Source organism: Homo sapiens, chromosome 13 (genome assembly GCF_000001405.40).
Source record: "Homo sapiens chromosome 13, GRCh38.p14 Primary Assembly".
NCBI lineage: Eukaryota > Metazoa > Chordata > Mammalia > Primates > Hominidae > Homo > Homo sapiens.
Genome location: NC_000013.11, coordinates 71,761,103 through 71,784,030, shown reverse-complemented (window position 1 = coordinate 71,784,030; position 22,928 = coordinate 71,761,103). Strand labels below are relative to the sequence as shown.

The 22,928-nt window shown below is 33.8% G+C and overlaps 1 protein-coding gene across 6 annotated transcripts in view, besides 1 other annotated feature; it reads left to right on the top strand.

The window, feature by feature from the left end:
• DACH1 (dachshund family transcription factor 1) overlaps nucleotides 1-22,928 on the top strand; it is a 429,239-nt gene that overhangs the window by 83,174 nt on the left and 323,137 nt on the right. The window lies entirely within an intron of this gene.
• Nucleotides 9,933-12,183: an enhancer, noted in NCBI's record as "VISTA enhancer hs188". NCBI's record gives its function as "enhancer in: eye[3/7]" and the evidence as "EXISTENCE:transgenic organism evidence [ECO:0001131][PMID:17130149]".

The window sequence follows — 22,928 nt, the reverse complement described above, 5'->3', positions numbered from 1 at the left end:
AAGTTTTTACTTTTATGCTAACACTTTTGTTATCTTTAGTTTTTTTTTTGTTTTTTTTTTTTTTTTAAACCTTGGAGAATATGTATTTCATCTCCCAGGATGAGAGCCAACCTATGTTAGTGAGTAAATAGAGTTAATACTATCCTGTTTTTTATTTTTATACCTCTTAAAAAAGGAAACAAAAAAAAAACCTTAAATCAAACCTAAATTATTTTGTGTCTTTTATGTTTTTTTCCATTCATTCTTTAAATGCCAGCTCCAGTGACACTTTCTCTGTGAAACTCTCCCTGCCCAGTCACTCTGAGCAAGAGTTAAGTATACCATAGAAAGATATTTAAATTTCAATCACTCCTCTTAAGACTCCTTCTTATAATCTATTGTAACCATTCCTTCTTCTCTGCCTTTCCTACTAAAGGCAATGCTCTTGGGGGCAGGTATCGTTGGTTATCGTTTCTGTATTCTGGTTCCCTGGTACAATATCTGAGCCATAAGAGTACAGGAGATATTTCTTAAATTAACTCAATCATCCTATAATTACTGTTATCACATTATTTTTATCTTACATTTTTGGAACCTCTGCCTGTCCTTTGATAGGAAAACATAAGCGGGGATCTTGATCTTGTTTGTATATGTTAGTGACTAAATTTCATCTCTTTCTTTTCTGTAGGAATATTAAGTACCTTTTCCTAGACTTTAGTTATAAGTTTATGTTCAGAATGAGAATGGAACTTGATAGTGATTAGCCAGTTTTCACCGTATTTTGTTCATCTTGAGTTGCCTTTTATTGTTTTATGAAGGCATCACTATGGATCTAATACAGCTATCTTTAGGTTTTGATGTTAGACCTCCAAATCCCTTACATGTCATAATCTTTCTGGTGATAGTGTTGTAACTCCTTTCTCTGTGCAGGAACGTGTGTACGTCTGTGTGTATAGCCACTGACTGGTCTTTTGAAGCAATGCCTTTATCTTTGTTGTTATCTTTCACTGTCAATGCCAGTTTCTTATTATTGATCCTTCCCTCTTTCACTGTCAATGCCAGTCTCTTATTATTGATCCTTCCTGTGATAATGGCTTGAGGGACTTTGAGGAATAATTTTTAAAAAATATTTTTGGTGGAAGAAATCTTCTTACTTTGAAGAAATTAGATAAAATAATTTCAACTTTGGCTGACAAATCCTGCCCTCTCGTTGGTTTATTAGCCTGCAATAATACCTATTACTACACTGTCTAGATTCAAATGTGCACAAATAACTGTCATGAATAAGTATTTTATTTTTGATTTCTCAGGATTGTTAGGTATGAAAATGAAGGTAAAAACTCTGGTTTAGTGCCTGCCAGAGTACGCACTATGGGAAAAAGCAGATGAATGGATGCTGATGACTAAGATAGTTCCTGATGCTGTGATTTTTATGGGAGATTTGTAAAGAAACTATTCACTTTAACACAAGATAATATTTGATACAAACTTTACCAGTAATACAGATTATTAGGCACTGGGACTACTGGAAGGATAAGAACACAAACATTTCTTTTTCAGTTTATTTATTTATTTTATTTTTATTTCTATTTTGTTTATTTATTTATTTATTTGAGACAGTCTCCTGCTGTCCACAGGCTGGAGTGCAGTGGCATGGTCTGCACTGACTTCAACCTCTGCCTCCCAGGTTCAAGCAGTTCTTCTGCCTCAGCCTCCTTAGTGGCTAGGACTACAGGCATGCATCACCATGCCCAGCTAATTTTTTGTATTTTTAATAGAAACGGGGTTTCACCATTTTGGCCAGGCTGGCCTTGAACTCCTGACCTCAAGCGATCCACCTGCCTTGGCCTCCTAAAGTGCTGGGATTACAAGTGTCAGCCACCAGGCCCAGCCACAAACATTTATTTTCTAATGAAATGATGTTTAATGGGTTTTGCAGAATAGGAGGATGAGACATGAGTGAAATGTGTCCATTTTGCCTGAAACTTAAGGGTCTGTAGGATGATGAGATAGTTACAGCTTTGGAGATATATTTTACTGGGCAACCAATGTCTAGTTGAGAAATTGGTACTTATTGCAGTAATCAGTGTAGCATCATTCAAGCTTTCTGAAGATGGGATGATCTGATCCAATTCAACATTTTAAAAACATATGTAAAGGTTCACAAACCTTTTGTGTAGTGTGTGTCAGAAAACAGAAATAAGGAAATGTTATACTGAACTGAGGTTGCCAACTCATATCTCATAGAAACATCATTTTGTTCAGTCCAGAGTGATCTTTGAACCACATGAATTATGCATCAAATTTACCATGAAAATTCCAAAGAAAAATCATAATTGTTAGGTCGTCTAAGAATCCTAAAGATCTGGACCTTGGCCAGGCATGGTGGCTCACGCCTGTAATCCCAGCACTTTGGGAGGCCGAGGCGGGCGGATCACGAGGTCAGGAGATCGAGACCATCCTGGCTAACACGGTGAAACCCCGTCTCTACTAAAAATAGAAAAAATTAGCCGGGCGCTTTGGCGGGTGCCTGTAGTCTCAGCTACTTGGGAGGCTGAGGCAGGAGAATGGCATGAACCCAGGAGGCAGAGCTTGCAGTGAGCCGAGATGGTGCCACTGCACTCCAGCCTGGGTGACAGAGCTAGACTCCGTCTCAAAAAATAAATAAATAAATAAATAAATAAATAAATAAATAAATAAATAAAAATAAAAAAGATCTGGACCTAGTGTTGGCATGGCAACAGTTCTCTAGAGGTGAGTTACAGTTGCTTCCTTTCTGTGGACCTGTGTGCAGGTTCACTGTGGTTCCCACAGGATTTGTTTGTTCCCTGCCTGGTTCTTGAGGCATTTGAGCTTGTGGCCTTTATTATAACCTAATGAACCAAAGGGAAGGCACAGTGAAAGTTTCAAACTTACCATAACAAAATCTCGCTCTGTCACCCAGGCTGGAGTGCAGTGTCACTATCATAGCTCACTGCAGCCTCAACCTCCTGGGCTCAAGTGATCCTCCCACCTTAGCCTCCCAAGTAACTGGACTACAGGCACGTGCCACCACACCCAGCTAATTTATTTTTATTTTTTGTAGAGATAAGGTCTCGCTATGTTGCCCATGCTGGTCTTGAATTCCTACGTTCAGGTAGTTCTCTTGCCTTGGCCTCCCAAAATGCTGGGATTGCAGACATGAGCCACTGAGACCGGCCTATTCTTAGCAATAATTTGAAAATGTATTTCACTATTCAGGGAGTGTAACAAGAAAGTTAAACAAAACATTAAAAAGGCAGGAAAGAAAGTGATTTCACTTTTATAGCACATTTTTTATTTTACCAAAGGAAGAGTAAAAGTTAAGTGAAGGAAGAGAGGGGAGAGAGGAACATTCTTTTCATTAAGAGAATTTTTTTTTTTTTTTGAGATGAAGTCTCTCTCTGTCGCCCAGACTACAATGCAGTGGCGTAGTCTTGGCTCACTGCAACCTCCGTCTCCCAGGTTCAAGAGTAGATTTTCAACACTGATAATTCTATCAACTTGTAGCTAATTTTCAAAAATATGTGGTAGCCTCTGTTTCATACCGTGTTATTTGTAATGCCCTGCATATTTTATTTGATATGTTTTATAAGGGATAAACAAAATAATATATTTAATCTAAATATACATAAAGTGCTCCAGAATCCTCTGAAATTTAAATGATAGTGTCAATGTAAAAATAATGTTATTATTTGATTGATCACATAAAAATGTTAATATCATATAAATTTATATAGCACAATGAAAAAACTCTAAAATGCCTCACTGAACCTTCCTCAGTTCCCTCAACTTGCCAAGCTCTTTCTAACTTTTCAGTCTTTGTGTATGCTTTTTTATCTGGAAGCCTCTCCCGTTCTTTCCCTTGCTGATGTAATTCCTATTCTGGTCACAGTTCTTTTTAAATCTCTATTGATCTTTACCTGACCCTTATCCCCCAGTAATGTTTTATGGTTTACACAGCCTTTTTATATATAATATCCCATTTGATCCTTATTATTTTCATTCATTCATTCATTCATTCATTCCTTCCTTCATAGGATGTTTTTGAAGCACCCACAATATGCCAGGCACTAATATAGAGAAGAGGTTTCCAGAGATTTAATAAAGAGTTTTTGTTCTCAGCTCACAATATAGTAGGAAAGAGAAATAAGTCTGCATAATTCTCTGTGGTGAGTCCAAAACTTGAGATTTGCACAAGTAGAAACATAAAATAGGTGGATGCGGTTGAGTAGAGGTGGCCAGGGATGGGAAGGAAAAAGACAGGGAAACTTTTTTGTTGAATTTTGAAGATGTCAAAGAAGAGATCTGGGAATAGAGGGGAAAGGAGAGGTGGAGAGGTAGCAAGTATCTCCATCACTCCATGAAATGGAACTATTTTTGTTTGGTGTGGTTATTGTTTTACCACTTGAGCTTCCAATATGGTTTAGGTTGTATGCAAAGCGCTCTGCAAGCATTAAGTCACTCATTTTATTAAATGACTCAGTAAAGTAAGTACTTTTTACAAGCAAAAAGTTGGAGGTCCAGAGAAATTAATGTGTCTTACTCAAAGTATATTTTGCGTTGCCACTTTCTGCATTCTATTTTCTAAATGGTGATGTTAAAAGGGTATAGCTGTTCTTTCTCAGATATCTGGATGTGAATGAAGTTAAGTTTTGTTCTAAAATCCAAAATCAAACTCTTAAAACGTTTTCTGTTACCTTTGCATGTTATATATATATGTATATAAATATATATATGTGTATATATACGTATATACGTATATATACACATATATACGTATATACGTATATATGTGTATATATACGTATATACGTATATATATACACATATATACGTATATACGTATATATGTGTATATATATACGTATATACGTATATATGTGTATATATGTGTATATATGTATATATGTGTATATATGTATATATATATATTCAGCCCTTTGTTTTTGTTAAATTCTCATCTTTTCACTATATCCACACTGTAAGAAAGTTTGACTTAGGTATGACAGAAGAAAAGGTATCAAAGTTAAGTCTTGCAAAATGCCATTCAAATCTTGCTGAAAAAGGGGAGCAACTTTCTTTTCTAAATCTGTGTATATGAATGGTTACAATGAAAATATCACATAAAGCTCCAACTTTCTGGTATCTGCCTTTCTTTAGTGATCATTTGATAAACAAATGCCATGTTAGACCAGTGTTTCTCCTAGGGTAACAATTCTATAAACTATACCAGAACAAATTTATTGTTTCCAAGTTTAATTTTTTGGAAATGTTATTCTTAAAGAAATGATAAATATATGAAATTCTGAAAGGAGCTTACTATGTGTTTCAAGAGCTATGCTTAAAACATATGATTTCTACATATTGTTAGCAGAGGAAAGTTGCAGTTTATATTTCTTTACTTTCATTATAAGAATTTTTTTTATAAACTATTATAAAGAAAACAATAGTTATGCCTTTTGAAAATTAAGATTTTTTTACTAGATTTTTCAACTTAAATTTCTCCAAAAATTGGGGACATTTGTTCAACATTATAAAGCTATAATCCACAGAAAGTTAATTTTAAAACTATTGAGTGCTCTCATTTGTCACTGAAGGGAAGTTTGAAAACAGAAATCAGGGAGTTTATTCCTCTAACATTTACTCTAATGTTAAAGACAAAGATCAGTAAAATGTATATCTCAAAATATTAATTACATTTGACTTATGTAAAAATCAAAGTATCAAGAAATTAGTGAGTTAATTGTCAGAAATCTGGCTTCTACTACTGATTCTGAATATCACCGACTGAGTTGTCTAATCTCTTGGAGCAATGCATTGTCTTTTGTAAATTGAGAGAAATAACTAGCTTATTTATAAGGTCCACTTCAATTCTGAAGTTTTATAGTTTTATTTATTTATTTATTTATTTATTTATTTATTTATTTATTTATTTATTGTAGACAGGGTCTCACTCTGTCGCCTAAGCTGGAGTGCAGTGGTGCAATCTCGGCTCACTGCAACCTCCTACCTCAGCCTCCCAAGTAGCTGGGACTCTAGGCACAACCCCTTACTACCAGCTAATTTGTGTATTTTTTGTAGAGATGAGGTTTTACCATTTTACCCAGGCTGGTCTCAAACTTTTGGGTTCAAGCAATCCACCTTCATTGGCCTCCCAAAGTGCTGGGATTATAGGTGTGAGCCACCACACCTGGCCTTATAATTTATTGATTTAATAATTCATATATACTCAATATGAATGTTGAGAATAGTGGGAATATTACACATAAATACTTAAAATTAAACGTCTGACAAAGGTTAGCAAGTCTTCTATTTGTTGTCCAGTAGAAATCCAAACTAGACAAAACAAAACAAAAATTTAGGAAAAAATATAGCTCCAATCTACAAGTTTGGCGTTTGGATTAGTTTTTTTGTGTTTTAAAATGATGGACATAATATAGATGCAGTCACTGCCAATATAATTATATATAAAATCACATAGATTGTTAAAAGCAAGCTAGGATAATGCAGTTCAGAACAATTCTTGTTTATTTATACATGAGTTTCTAGAAGAGGGGAAGTGATACTAAGTTTGATTAGCATCAACGATGTACCATAAAATTTTTGAAAATTTTGTCTACTTAATGCTTATAATAACCCTATGATATAGATGTCATTATTCCCATTTAACTCATGAGGAAACTGAGACTTACTGTTCAAGCTACCAAACAGTTTGTTGGAGACACGCTAAGAGCCAGGACTGTCTGACTCTGAAGTTCCTGTCTCTTTAAGGCTATACCGTACGGACAAGAAGAAGAAGGTGGAAATGTTTCCTGTCTCTTTAAGGCTATACCGTACGGACAAGAAGAAGAAGGTGGAAATGTTTCCTGAGCTCCCCTTTACCATTTTAAGGAACTCATCTGAAAACAACAAGAGGGTGATTGTTGTAAACCATGGGGGCAAAACAGTGAAATATATTTGATAACAGGAATTACAGGAAGCTGAAAGAATAGATAGCATAATTTGGGATAAGACAGAAAACTATGAATAGGCCTAGAGTGCTTTGAGGATGCTTATCAGATGTTTGCATTGGAGGTCAAGAGGCTTCTGAAACTTCTGGGACAGGGTCTGGGTGGGGAGTGATGAAGGAAGAACAAGTTGTAGAGATCAAGTCAGATGAGAAGTCACTTGCTGAAGGTAAAAGATAAAGAAGACAAAGAAAAAAATTACCAGTGAGTGACAAAGTAAAAGCAACAGCAGGGTTTATTTGGGGTGTAGAAAAGATGCTAGTTTTTCTATCTGGGTAAGTAAAATTTAAATATATGTTTTATTCAGTATGAAATGAAATGATATGTAAGAAGGTACCCTCAAAAAGTGAAAAAGCAGCTGTATAAGATTATTTCACATGACTTTATGAATGATACCTTTTCAATGAAAGCAAATGATCCAGGGACTCTTAGGAATTAAGACTGTTATTTCTCCTTTTTTATTGCTTATTATAGCATCACCCAAAATGGAAACAATGAATTAGCATTAACTGATCTAATTCTTTATTAATCAATATATTAAGAAAATATTGCATTAAAATAACATCTAAAGTTATAATACCATACTATTTAACTTTTCTTTAGGTATTTCCAAAATTAATAAACTCAATTATACATAGGTGTTACATGTCAAAATTAGCCATGGTAACTCTCACTTCTATAATCTGACCTTTCTAAAAACCTGAAAATCAAAAGTTTATCTTGAATACATCCTAAAAATAGCAGTAAAAAGTGACTTCATAATGGTGTTGCCAACCTTGGTTGTGAAACATTTTACTATGGACTATTTCCCTCATAGATTGTGCCCATTAAAAATGGTTCTGCTAAAATTTATAGTGTAATAGTGACTTTGAGAAATACACAGGAAGGAAGGAAATGTTTGGTCAAATTACTGCTTAATTATTCCAAAGCTGGAGTGACTGGCTTTGTTTTGCGCCCTTTTACTGAATAACTTTTGATAACAATCAAACTGAAAAGTCAAGAAATTAACTTTTATGGAAATTGAGTCATGCCTTAAATTCATTTTTAATTCTTATACTGCTTATTTAGTAACCAATAAAACTAAACCAAGTTGTGCTATGAAGTGAAGGATCATAACTTCAAATAAGCAATTCCATTTTCTCCATTATCCCTACACTTGGCTGGCAAAGAGTCTCTAGGAATTTTTTAATGTATTATTTAAAATTGAAAATACTAATGTTCATACTAATATGATGTTAGATTTTTCAGTTATGTTTACTGGCAATAACAAAAAATTTAAATTCAGTTCTGTTTACTGCCTATCATTGTGTTATTTTTTCCTTCCTCTGTCAGTGACCTTCAAATAATCTTAATAATATAAAGGAATGTCTGTGACAACTATATTCAGTTTAGACTTCACATTTTACAACTAAGACAATGTTACATATAAATACATAAGAACATATCATAGCTAATGTATATATCTTTGTGTGAATATGCATTTGTTTATATATGTATCTATGTTTATTTTTAGAGACAAAACTTTAAAACCAATACAAAGATATTAAATCATTTTGCGATTGTACTAAGACAGTAGAAAGTGAAATGAACATACCATTATCTTTTAAAAATTTATATCACAGCCTTAATTACCTGGTTTGTCTATATGGCCATGGCACCAGAATAACTGTTATCTGTCTGTCTTCTTCAGTTTGTCAATTTGAGGTGGCAATTGTTTTTCTTGAAGAGACTTGCCCTGTTGCCCAGGCTGGAGTTCAGTGGCATGCATTTATGGCTCACTATAGCCTCAAGCTCCTGGGCTTAAATAATCCTCCTGCCTCAGCCTCCTGAGTAGGTAGGATTACAGGCGAGCACCTAGCTAATTTAAAAAAAAAAAAAAAAAAAAAAAAAAAAAAAGCTTGTGTTGAGATGGAGTCTTGCTCTGTTGCCCAGGCTGGTCTCGAACTTCTGGCCTCAAGAGATCCTCCTTCCTCCATCTCTCAAAGTGCTGGGATTATAGGCATGAACCACTATGCCCTGCTAGGGGAGCATTCTTGTAGCACCTTTCAGTGATATCTTTTGGTAAGCAAGATGGCACCGATTTCACATCACTTTTGGCCTAGCGATATGTTTGTAAAGACCTAGGAACAATGATCTTTCTAACAATGGCCTGTGTTGATGAATCATCAATTTAGTTTCATAGAAAATGACAGTGACCTATTTTGTCCCTGTCTACCATAATGCCTTATGGTTTTCTGAAGAAGAGTTGGATTTGTTAGAGATTATAGTGCCTTTTGAGGACATGTACCTAGAAAGTGTGTTCTAGAATGGACAGCATTCTGATCTAATACAATGAGCACACTGACTTTGGAGTCTGATTAACCCAAGAATGAGTCAAAAGTTACTAAGCTTTTAAAATCCGTTTCCACATCTGTAAAGCATGGATTATAAATAATGACTTCCTCAAAGGGTTGGTATCATAACTAAATTATACGGTTTCTACCATATAATATGCACTCAGGAGGTGTTTCTTCCTTCTGCCTCCACATGTTTTCTACTGTAGTGGGATGGCAGGACTTCATCACTTCTACCTTGAAACCTACAGTGTCTCACAAGGCTGCAGATGAAGAGAGTCATTCCCATTTAAAGAACACTATGTTATGTTGTCCAGTCTATTTGCATGTTGATAACAGAAACCCTCCATACTGAGAAATATAGACATGACCAGATTATTGTGTGATGTGTAAAATATGAAGATAATTTTGGCAATGTAGCTTCTACCTTAGAAGCTAATTGCTTGATTTTGCATCTGTTTTCAGAATACTCAGTGGAACTTTAGGTGTATGCATTCTAGTTGTGTATACCAATTTGTAGTTGACTAATTCTGCAAATCTAACTGATTAATATGAACACCAGAAAAAAATAATTTCACTTCAGGGCAATGTTAACCCAGGGAGTCACATCACTGAATATCATTTTGAAAATTTGTTTATTAAAAACATTTCTTTGACATTGGAGCAGCTAACTTGTTTGTGGTGTTGTTGCTATTGTTCCTTTTTTTTTTTTTTTAAACAGGCAATAGAGTGACTGGCCTGTGCCATTATTCTATTTATAGAAAGTAAAATTAAAGCCTTAAAGATAAACATGCATAGTTTGTGAACAAATGCAAAACAACAACCTTTATGAAGATTATTTGTACGCTATTTCCACTGGTTTACTCCAAAGATATATTCTCAATGATAATAAAGTAATAAAAGATTGTTTTCACAGCTGTTTGTCTTTGATTACATATTTCTTTGAAGTACTGTAATAAGACAGACTTTGAACCTGGAAAGAGATCAAATAATGAATTGTTCTGCTTTGTGAAGCTTAAGAAGGGATTTTATTGTCGAAACATATAGTGCGACATATTTTTTCTTCTAACAGTTAAATAATGGTTGAAAGTACTATGAGATCATTACAGATGGACTAGATTAAAAGTCTTGGGGCCAAGTGTTAGTGATCGTTACCAAAAATTGGTGCTTTGGTTTAAAAAGTCAGGTTTTACAATTACCAAACATTTCATTGGTTTAGTTTTGAGTTAAAATAGAACACAGTATTAATGCTAGAATATATTCTCAGACTTGTAATATTTATATCTAAAGACAATATAAAACTTACATTCACAGATCTCAAAAGACTTATGCCAAATTTGTTATCCACTTCAGGTTTAGGCAGATTAGATTAAAGAGATTCTGTAAATTAAACTAAATGTCATTAGATAAAAGAACATTAACAAACATCATATGGTTTTTCTTTTATCTAAACTAGCAATTTTGAAAATGTAGCGGAAAGTTCAGTAGTAACACTCTTAATAGGTTTTCAGATGTTACATATGAATATGGTTGTAACTATTGTTATTTCTACCTAAATTTTCCGCAAGAATTACATAGTATCTATCAATCAGCAGAGGTGTGGTACATATTTTAAAATAATAGAATTAGGGATAATCATTGCAGCACTTTGCTCAACCTAGGATATATGTACTATGTAGTATCATTATAAAGCATTAAATGGTAATTGGGTGGGCATTTCAATATAGCATATTTTGTTATTATAGTTATATCGAAACAACATTTTGCTTTTGTAAACACTTGGCAGTTCATGAGTATACATTTTAGAGAGTAAGAATAACATGTATGTGCATATTTTTAGATCTCATTTATTCAGCATACTATTTCTCTAAACTAGTTTTTGTTGTATTTGGAAGAAACTTTTTTCTTTATTTAAGATATAAACCTTTCAAATGATAATTTTCATGGAAATACTAGACAAAGGAATATTGTAACTTTAGAGTTTTTATGATGAAGGTGTGTTTAAGAGATGTCACTTTGATATTTTTACATTATGTCCTACATTTGTCAGCTAAAACCAGGATATTGCCTCAATGAGAAAAAGCATGTTCTGCACTTGTCAAAAGGCAGTAAGTAATGATTAAAATAGCAGTGTGAAACGCTAGGAGATTAAAGTGATGCTAATGATAAGTGAGAGAAGAAAAGGGCAAGCTATATTTTAATCCCTGAGAGAATGGTTAATGACTTCTATTGCCTGAGATTAAACTAAACCTGTCTCATCAGCTTTTTCTGCCTGGTGAAAAAAAGCTCTCTGCACTTTAATTTATTAAAGTCTTTTAAGGAAGCACATTGATCTACAGAGGTTAAACTTTTAAAAATTGTGCAAAATACACACAAATGCTTTAACAAAAGTGTGATTTTGTTGCTTTTAGGCATGCTCACATATTCATAAAGAACCCATTGTCTATTCCTTAGTATGTTTAATTAAGGAATGTTAATTACTCAAACTAGAAGGTTTATTCCTTTTAAACATCAGAACATATTCATATTACTGTGTAGGCAAGGGGCAAGTATACTGTAGAGGATATCAGTCTATATGAAGAGATTAATTTACAGTTGTAATTACTGCTTGGTTTGTTTAGAATAATACATGTACAGTTCAGAAAATGAATTATTTTATTTTAAAACCCTTTTAAGGATAGTAAATTGTAATCTTTAAATAGATCAACTTGCCAGTAACTTTAGATAACACGTTATTGTGAATTTCAATGTTTGATGATTCTCTTGGACTTTTAATTATAGTGGCTTTTTTTTTTCATCCTTTACTCATCTTCAACCATAAATGGTAACCCACCTTTATGTAACTAACATTTACCTTTATACAGTAATATTTACCTTTTCTTAGTGAGATAAAGAGTGTGTGTGTATGTGTGTGTGTGTGTAATGATATGGATATAAGAAGATGAATAATAAGAATTTTACTCAAATCCTTTCTATGAGTTTGTAGCCCATAAAAATGTTTAACATTTACCAACACTATATCTTAATTATGTTAGGTTATCTATCACAACAGAATAATTTCCACCAAATCAGGTCATAACAGTTCATTGATTCTTTGTAACAAGAAAAATGTTGTTTCTACTTTCTAGAATGGGATACTTGCCCTTTCTAGAGTTCTGTAAGTTCTACTTTGGTTCAAAAGTTACTGATTAGTTGCAAAAATGGATGCAGGGATACTTAAATTGACATACTGATTTGCATTTAAATACTAAGTGACTTTTTAATTCAACAATTTCGTGGCCGACTTGTATCTCAGCTTAGAAGAAATCTGTCATTTGGTCATTCTGGCAAAGATTTATTTATTTATTTATTTATTTATTTATTTATTTATTTATCCTTTTGCTTCTTTTTGCATTTGCTGGTGGTGTTCTTCTTCATAATTCCATTATTAATACTCCTCATTCTTAATAGTATATTTCTTTCTATTGACTAAACCAAGAGCTATAAGGAAGATCTTTCCTAAAATTTCATTATCTAAAATATTTTTAAAACTTTATTTTCTATGTAACTTTTTAGGCTAGGGAGTTTAAACTGAGTACATTCTTTGATGTTAATGAAACACCAATTTTTCTGAAGGCCATGTAGCCCTAATGAGCAGCTTCTTATAAAAGAACATTTAATCAAGGTTTATTTTTAACTTGTTTAAACAGATCTAATAGTTTGTGCTGATTTCATTTCAGTATAATAATTGCTAGCAATCCTATTAGTAAGTCCTAGTACAGGGAAGTTAACACAAATTCCAATCTAATGAGAGTGGTGTCACAGCAAAAACCATGTAGTCAAGGAAAGATCAGTATTGCACTGGAGGGAAAGAGGCACCTGGCTATTCTGTACATAGTTTTGTTGCCATAAGTCTTTGAGTTCTGAGTTACTTAATGCTTACATGGAATTTACTAGATTTAGTTAATTCAGTTTCTTATGGCCTTTAAAAGGCAAAAAAACTTAATGAAAACAACACCTACTTTAGGGGGACGTTCTGAGAAAATAAATTACGTTTTCTACCCAAGCACATTTTGGTACACATAATTTTCTTATAATAAAGCCTATTATGTCACTTAGTTTTAATTTGTTACAAGAGCATACATAAAAATTAATCTTTAAATGCGTTCTTTCCTTCTTGAGCTTCAGATTGAAGAAAATGAAATGTTACTGGATTACGGGGCATGTGAATAATATAACTGATAGAATTAAAGGATGATTTAAGACTAGCAGAATGATGGATAATTTCAGCTGATATTGTATAATAGGATAATTTTTAAAAGAGGTGACAAAATAGTCTGATTAAGAGCCAAATATTTTAAATACCGTTAACTTACTATTAGAATTGGTTTAAAATAACATTGTTGATACTTTAGACTGTTCGGTGAGTGTGAAGATTTCATTGCATTCAAAAATGAAAACAAGATAAGAAGTAAGACTCTGGTAGAGAAAACGTACGAAGGCAAGGATTTCAGGCCTTGTAATGAAAGTGCATATCTGCCAAGTTCAGGTTATAATCTTTTAAACTTTTTATTACTTAATATGACACAGTGACATTTAAAATATGGAGAAATTGAAGATAAATAATATGGAGTGAATGGCAGAATTGATTTAAAATTTTAAAGCTGTACTAAAAGTATTCTAATGCACTGAAGGACATTTGTAAGTTATACATTGTTTATAGGTTTCTGATGAGAATCCCAAAGCATAATGTATTAGAGCTTGCCTTTGCCATGAGGGCAAAAGAATATTGTCCATAGAAAATAGTGGATAGTAAAATTTAGCCTCTTTTTTTATTCATGTAAATCATCTGCTTTTTGTGAAAGGTTTTTATGCATAAGATCATGTCACATATTACTAATTTCAACCAATAACTGATATATTTGGTCTTCTGGAGGATTTCTTTATGAGATTATCATTTATTGTTCTAAAAAGTTGAAATTAGAATAACGAATGCTGTGAGAACTGTGATTTTTATACTCTCAGTACAGAATAAGGAGTACTTTTTCACAATGGTTTTAAAATCTTGGTATGCTGATAACTTGATGATTTAAAAGTATCTTTTACTACATTTGGTTAAAAACTGTCTGATATACAATCTACTATTTTTCAGAAAAGTGACCCTCACAAAGTGCACATGATACTCAACCAAGGTGCTTGATAACAATGTAGATTTATTGGTCTCATCCTGGATATACTTAATTTCTCACTCTAGGAGCAGAACCTGGAAATTCTTATTTTTAATGAAGTTCCACAGGTGTTTCTATTGCACACAAAAGTTTGAAAACTACTATTTTAGAGAGAGTGCAACACTTCATAGGCTAAATGGAAGGGTCTATTTTTGGCACTTTGTTAGAATAAACCTAGAAGATTTTTAGTGTAGAGTTTTTATATGGAATCTTTAATGTGGTTAAGAAAAAAAAATTATAAAGGCATTTGTAGCTTTAAATATGAAGAGTATGTGGTACATAGATGACAAATTTAGGACATCTTTCACAGATGCTGTATACTCAAATGAATCATGTCATCTGGCTCAAGTTGCTATTCTATCTTAACTGCAAACAAACTCACACTATTTGTACTGAATGCTTATACAAGTTGCATTCTGAATACTAAGTTGGCATGTATTTACAAATCTGAGAGAACTGCTATGTTTAATGCACAGGTTGTCATAGAAACTAATTAACTTTTATTTCCATGTCAAGATAAAGTAGTGTAATACAGATGAAAATTGTAGCAAAGGAAATAGTATCACAACTAAGAGAAAAAAAGCTCCAAGACTCAGAAAATGTGCAATCAAAATGCGTGATGTCAAATAACTCAGTGGTGGATTGTTTTTAATTCTGCAAATTATGATGTTAAAAATTGTACAGACAGAGTCCACATTTTCCTAGAGCTGTTTAAGCAATTTAAATGGAATTTGGCAAACAATAGATTTAGTATAACATCTATCAAACAATGCCAGAAAAGTTTTCCAGCTTAAAGATTATTCTGTATTTATTTGAGCTGCCTTATTTTGTTCTACAATTACCTGTCTTTTGAATTAGAGAAGAAAAAATATGTCATCCATGAAGCTCACAGTGTGCTCAGGGCTGTAGAACTGTAACTGCAACACTTTTAAAAACATCTTATTTATTTGAGAGCAAATATTAATACATTTCATACTTTTTTCCAGTCACATTTGTTGAATATGTTTTCATCATAAGAAAGCAATACACCCTTCTGACATAGGCCAGAGAGGAAAGAAAAGAAAGGCAATCTGTAAGAATAAAGCATGAACTTTCATCACATCTTGGCACATCCTAAACCTTCCTACCTGCAGTAAGCTTTCTCCCTGGCCTAGTCATTAGAGAAATCGACATCTTTTTGTGGCCTTATACTTGTTCCAAAAAGTGAGGATGGAAAGTAGGTAATCTATGAGTCATCTTTGTTTTGATTATGGCATGTCTTATTCAAGGAGAGTGACGATGAAGGTAGAATTAATGGTGAAGAATATTAAAAGAAAGAGGTCAAGTAATGTGATTGAATCGCTGGGACTGGAGAGACAATAATGGGGCTTATATTCTTTAAATGATTTTAATGAGAATATACTTAACATTCTGAAATTCTAATTATATGATAGCCCATAGTACTCTTAATACTACTAATAATAGGAAATTGCAGAATTCAATACGTAAAAATTAAACTTTTTAAAAATGCTAAACTTTGCCTATGGAGCTAAATTATATCTTATTTTAAAATATTGCTTCATTGCTACTTATAATATTTTTAATTATATTATAAAACATATTCTTCTCATCCCACTGAAACTTATACAGAAGGAAAAGTGTTAAAGGGCTAGGAAAATATTATTTCATCATTTCTGTTCCATTAGAATTCACTTGGGTGGCTGAGAAAATGGTTTATGGATTAGAGAGGGAAGAACAAGCTAAAACATTTCATACCTTCATCTCTGATAAATTCCCCAAACTCATTCTTTGCATCTGAGCCATAAATAACAACCATGCTTTTTGCTATAAAGAGCTTTTTGCCTACACCAGGTCTTTTGTCTTGGAGATGAATGCTATAATAAATTTGGAGTCTTGGGGGGGCATTGTTTGAACTATAACATTATGGTTTACAACTGTTGCTTCTATGATGAGGAGGATAAAAAGCGACTGTGAAGCTTGATCTCTGTCATAGAAATGGATTAATATTTCAGTCTTCAATATGGGTCAAGTGTATGATTCTCCCCAAAGCAATTCACCATGATTAATTTTTATTATGTGGTCATTCAGATTCTCTTTATATTCTTAGATATTTTATTCCCCCACCAAATCGCCCCTTGAAATACTATAACTTAGATTTTTCACATAATAGCAGAAACACAAGATTTTTAGATTCTTATAACAGTTTTAATAAAACCTCATGGAAGAAACCTCTAAAGTGTTTTCTCAAAAATTATATGAATAACTTAAATAATAGTAGAAACTTAAATCATTATATTGATAATAATTAATATTAACTTAATTTATTGATAAACAGTGTTAAATATATATTAATTGCAAAGTAATATGATGTTTTAATTTGCCAATGACTAAGTAATTAATTATTAGGAAAATGTACTCTGTCACTGGGGAAAAAATGGCAGTTGCATAAAGATGTAGCTTTTAAAGTCACCTTTTTCTGAGGAGAGGAGGGTGTTAACTAGGAAAACAAGACCTCTCTGTTGTCTTTGTTATCTTTATCTAGACTATAGTTTTTCACATATATCTGCAAGATGCTAATGAGTTTAAAACTTTGGGGGAAAAAAACTTTTTTGGCCTTTAATTAAGTGAGAGCTTTTTTTTTTTAAGCCTTTTCTCAGGAGGAAACTGACACATTTTATGTGTAAATAATTTCATGTATTGAAATTGTTTTTTTCAGTGCTTTCATTCCTCCCTTTGCCCTGCAAAATTTAAGGAACTTCAAGATATTAATTTTCAGTGCTTACATTAAGAATTCCTACAAAGTACTTATAAGAGCAATCAACAAGTCTTATTCAATTATTTATTTTACAAGTTATTGTTGGCAGTCTACTGACTGCCAGTCATGTCAATTGTAAATTGAAGGGAGCCATGAAGCTGTGGGAAGCCCAAACATTCCCTACAGACAATTATATGGGGAGAAATAGTTACAATCACTGGGATCAGGGCTAATGGAGGTTACATTATGTTTGGTACAACTATATATAATTTAGTTTTGCTAGGCAGTAGGTCTCAAACCTGGCTACACCTTAGAAAAAACTGGGTTGCTTTAAAAAAATTCTGATGCACAGGCTTCACCTTAAGAATCTCAAGAGCTGAATGAAGCCCGGCCATTGGAATTTTAAACATCTCCACAAGTGATTATAGATTCTAAGGTACTTAAAGGCTACAGGTGACAACCTGAAGAGAAGAGGGTACAGATGGAGAATGAGAAGGAGAGGTGAGTAGGAAATTTAGGGGAAATAGTAAATAATCTTTTTGAGGCCAGGCGTGGTGGCTCACGCCTGTAATCCCAGCACTTTGGGAGGCCGAGGCGGACGGATCACGAGGTCAGGAGACCGAGACCATCCTGGCTAACACAGTGAAACCCCGTCTCTACTAAAAATACAAAAAATTAGCTGGACGTGGTGGCGGGCGCCTGTTGTCCCAGCTACTCAGGAGGCTGAGGCAGGAGAATGGTGTGAACCCGGGAGGCGGAGCTTGCAGTGAGCAGAGATCGCGCCACTGCACTCCAGCCTGGGCGACAGAGCGAGACTCAGTCTCAAAAAAAAAAAAAAAAAAAATGAAGAAGAAGAAGAATAATCCTTTTGAGCAACAGCATTAGATTTAGACCGACTCTGTTTCACATCCTGGCTTGGTCATTTTCTTATTCCATGACTGTAGATGTTAGTTGTTATGGAAACATTACTTATAAAACTGGGGGTCTTAAATCTCACTTCCTAGGATTGCTAGAAAGAGTAAATAAAATAGTGTATGAAGACATTTCAACAGTGCTTGGCACATCCTATGATAACCATCATTATTACTGTTTAAAGATGGCTGGAGAAATGGGCAGGAACCAGATAATAATGGCTCTCATTTATTCTTGTGTTTAGATTTTTATCTTGAAAAGAATGAGGAAATATGGAAGATTTTTAAGACAGTACATTACATAACAAAATTTGCATAGTATAAGTAAGACTCTAGCATCCCATTGTGGGACAAATTGGAAAGTGTACTACAAATGGAGGCAAGAAGGCTAGTTAGAAGATTATTATAACAGTCCCTGTGGAAAATAAAAAGAGCCTTTACTGAAACAGTGACCACAAAAATGGGGAAAAGCAGATGGACGTGACAGTGCCTCAAGGGGTAGAACCCATGGAATTTAGTCACAGATTAGAAGCTTGTGGGTAGGCAAGGATAGATGGAACAGGTGAAATCATAAGTTAATGTCTTCCAAATGCCTGGTTTGTATGACTTGATGGATGGTGCAACAGGAAGGGAATACAGAATGAGGAAAAAGATAACAAATTCATGGAAATGTTGCACTTGAGATAACGGTAGAATAATCAGGGGCTGGTATCCAGGGTTAGTAGACTGTATTGGTATCAGTGGGGACCCCTGCTTACCTCACTTGAAGATTGGAAATTGGAATGAATGGAACTTTCTGGGTATAAGGATTTTGAGAGACAAGGAAGAGCTAAAGATAAAATCTTGAGTAATATCTACTTTTAGGAAAGAGTGGAGAGGAGGCTTTGAAAAAAGGGAAGCATGGTTAAAATGTAAAAAGACAATAAATTACATTGTTTTAAAGTCCAAAGTCCAAAGACCAATCGTATATTTCAAGATGTAAACAGTTGTCAAGATGCCTAAGAAATTAATCTGCAGAAGAGTTCTCCTAATGGATATGTCATCAGATATTTACCACATTGGCATACCTTCAGATTGTAAAAGTAAAGAAGTAAAATAAGAGCTTTTGCATTGTGCATATATTTATTGAGCATGTACTTTGAGCACAGCAGTAGGCCAAGCAATTATTAGATATGGGGAGTGAAAACTTACGAGACTTATACCCTAGTGAACTACATCCCAAGACAAACAGCATTCTGAGACTTCATCACTGCTTCCACTTATTTTTAATTTAGAAATTTTGTGGGCTGTTTATGTTTTCTTTTCTTTGTGCCTTTATTGAATACTTTATCTCATTTATAACATTTATAGTTTTATATAATTAAATGTATTATAATTCTTTTACAATTTTTTTATCCTAATTTAAATTTTTTAATATGGGCTCTCACTTTATTGCCTAGGCTGGAATGTAGTGGCTGTTCACAAGCACTATCATAGCTCATTGCAGCCTTGAATTCCTGAAGTAATCCTCGTGTCTCAGCTTCCCAAGTAGCTGGGACTATAGGAACATGCCGTCACACCCGGTTAACTGTACTGTATTTCTTTGAGTATGATTGCATGAAAGTTTTCCAATCCCTATAATTAATATAGCATAAGTTAGAGCTAGAGACCTTAAATGTTGTGGTGAGAATAATATTAGTTAAAAATGAAGTGCACATAAAGGCAAATAATTATTGTTATTATTTATAATGATAATGATATTCTTTCTTATATCACCCATATTTTAGTGTCATAAACCCTGATATTTGCTCTACAGCCATTTATATTTATATCCTGGTACCCAAGATTGTTGTGCACAAGTTGATATTCAACAAATGTTCGTTAAAAATACAGATAAATGAATAAAATGTTTTGCAACATGGCATAAAGGTGGGCATTTTGCCCCTGGATGTTATTAAAAGGTGAGTTTGTATAACAGGTCCAACAGTTGCATTAAATCTGCAAACATGTGTTAATTATTTTGACCAGTGTTTTCTGCTGAGCATGTGCCTTTATAAATGATATTTTTGCTACTTTAATTTTAATGATCGATTAAAAGGTTTACTAATTGCAAATGAAATCTTCTGTAAAAAGGAATATAAATGGAGGAATGCAGAGTCTCACATTAAGATTAGAAAGCCAGGTGCAGTAATGTGCACCTGTAGTCTTAGCTACTTAGGAGGCTGAGGTGAGAGGATCACTTGAGACCAGGAATTTGAGTTTAGCCTGGGCAATACAGCAAGATACCATCTCAAAAAAAAAAATCAGGGAAGAGCTTTGATAAGATATTAAACACATAAACTATTCCAACCAAACAGGCTGAAACACAGTCTGATCTCTTAGCTTTTATATTTTAAGTAATTATCATGGGGTTTGAGCATTTGTGATCAGAAAGAGATCTTGGAAATAATCTATAACAACACCTGTAATATCTTATAAGCAAAAATGAGAGGCAGTGTAGCAAACTGTTCAACAGCACAGACTTTGGAACCCAACTGCCTGAATTTCAAAAGTGACTTTGATACGTGACCAATGATATAAACCTGAATTTATTACTTCATGGCTCCATGCCTCAGTTTTATAATCTGCAAAATGAATATAAACATATAATACTTACTTAATAAAGCAGTCATAAGGAATCAGTGAGTTAATATATGTTAAAATGCTTCAAACAAAACTAGCAACTAAATAAGGTGATATATACATGTGAATGTTGAGGATGAAGATTATGACACTGATCTCAGAGAGTGTTAAGATACCAGTCAAAGCAACATACATGGGGGATTATTCCAATATATGGTGTCATTTAAACTTGTCTTCCCATATCTGTGGTGCAAGCCGTTTTATATGCCAGTGATACGTCACTTATGTTTATTTGCATTTTTACATGACTTGGAATGACTGAGAAAAAACTACATTATTAAATTGGTCCAATATTAATAGTACCAAATTTTAAATTTGAAGGTAAATTTTGAAGGTAGTGTATCTACCACTTAGATGTACATTCTTTTTTTTTTTTTTTTTTTTTTTTGAGACAAAGTTTCACTCTTGTTGCCCAAGGCTGGAGTGCAACAGCGCAATCTCAGCTCACTGCAATCTCCGCCTCCTGGGTTCAAGCAATTCTCTTGCCTCAGCTTCCCAAGTGGCTGGGATTACAGGCATGCCCCACCATGCCCGGGTAAATTTTGTGTTTTTAATAGAGACGGGGTTTCTCCATGTTGGTCAGGCTGGTCTCAAACTCCTGACCTCAAGTGTTCTGCTCGCCTTGGCCTCCCAAAGTGCTGCTCGCCTCGGCCTCCCAAAGTGAGCCACCACGCCGGACCTAGATGTACATTCCTAAATAATTTTTTATTACATCATATTCATCATTTTCTTCATATCACTTACTCATATGTGACATTTTCTTGCTCACTCATTTGTTCAGTTGTAGAGTAAATCCAACATGGCAGGAACTTTGCTTGTCTTTTCACACCTAAATGTCCTAGTCCCCAGAAGAGGGACTAAGACACTGTAGGCCTTCAATAAAACATATTGGGTGAATGAATGTCATAGACTGTGATCCAGCGATATGGGCTTGGCATGGGGGAGTAAGTCGATTTAAGTGATACTGAACTGATAGTGCATTTGTATACAATACTTGACTCAAGTTCCAGCCCCTACCTTGGACCAGTTATTTTACCTCACCGAGTCTTAGTTTTCTGGTCTGTATAATTAATACAATTAACATAACAATACAGACTTTGAGGTTGTAGTGAGGAAAAAAATTAGTTAATAATTAAGTATACATAGCAGGCACTCAATTATCAATATTATTATCAGTATTGCTAGTAACACTCCTAGTTAAATCATCCACATTTTTGATAGTTTATTAATATAAATATTATCTATTAAATCACCCATGTTTTAGATATATTTATTAATGAAATTAATAAAATAGTGTTGACAATATCACATATGGCTTTATCTTGATAGTAATATAAGGATCCCCTACTCCTGATTTTATTATACAAATTATAAACACCATCAATAGTTTAAGTCCTTGCTTATCAAAGTATGGCTCCAGGACCGGCAGAATCAGCATCACCAGTGACTTAAAAATGTTAGCATCCAGGCCCCATTCCAGACCTACTGGATCAAAACCTGCATTTAACAAGCTTCCCTGCCTGCCCAACCCCAGATGATGTGTACGCACATTGATGTTTGAGAAGTCTGTGTTTCAGGTGATATTTTTAAAGGCTAGTAAGTATTTAAGAATCCCATAAGAAAGGGAAAAATGCAAATATTCCTCACTAAAACAATTCATCTCGCTTCCTACTTGACGATGATTTTAGGACAGGAGAATATAGTATTGTAAAATTGAGAGGAAAAGAGAAGAAGTTTATAGTTACAATCTACCTATAGGAAATTTTGTCTTATTGCATAACATGGACTCCCTTTTGAGTCAGCGCTTATAAGTACAAGCAAAATGGTGCTATTATACACATTGTACCCTCTGCCCTATAGAGTGAATTACAAAGTGTGAAAATATAATGACTACTACCGGGATATTTAATAAGAAGGATAAAGTAATAATTTAAGAAAAACGATTTCCTGAGAGACTAAAGATTAGGATTAAAATGAGAGTTAGAATAGCATAGAGGTAATTCAACATTTGATTAAGGACTTAATCTACTTATCTTTATTCAATTCAAGCTTTT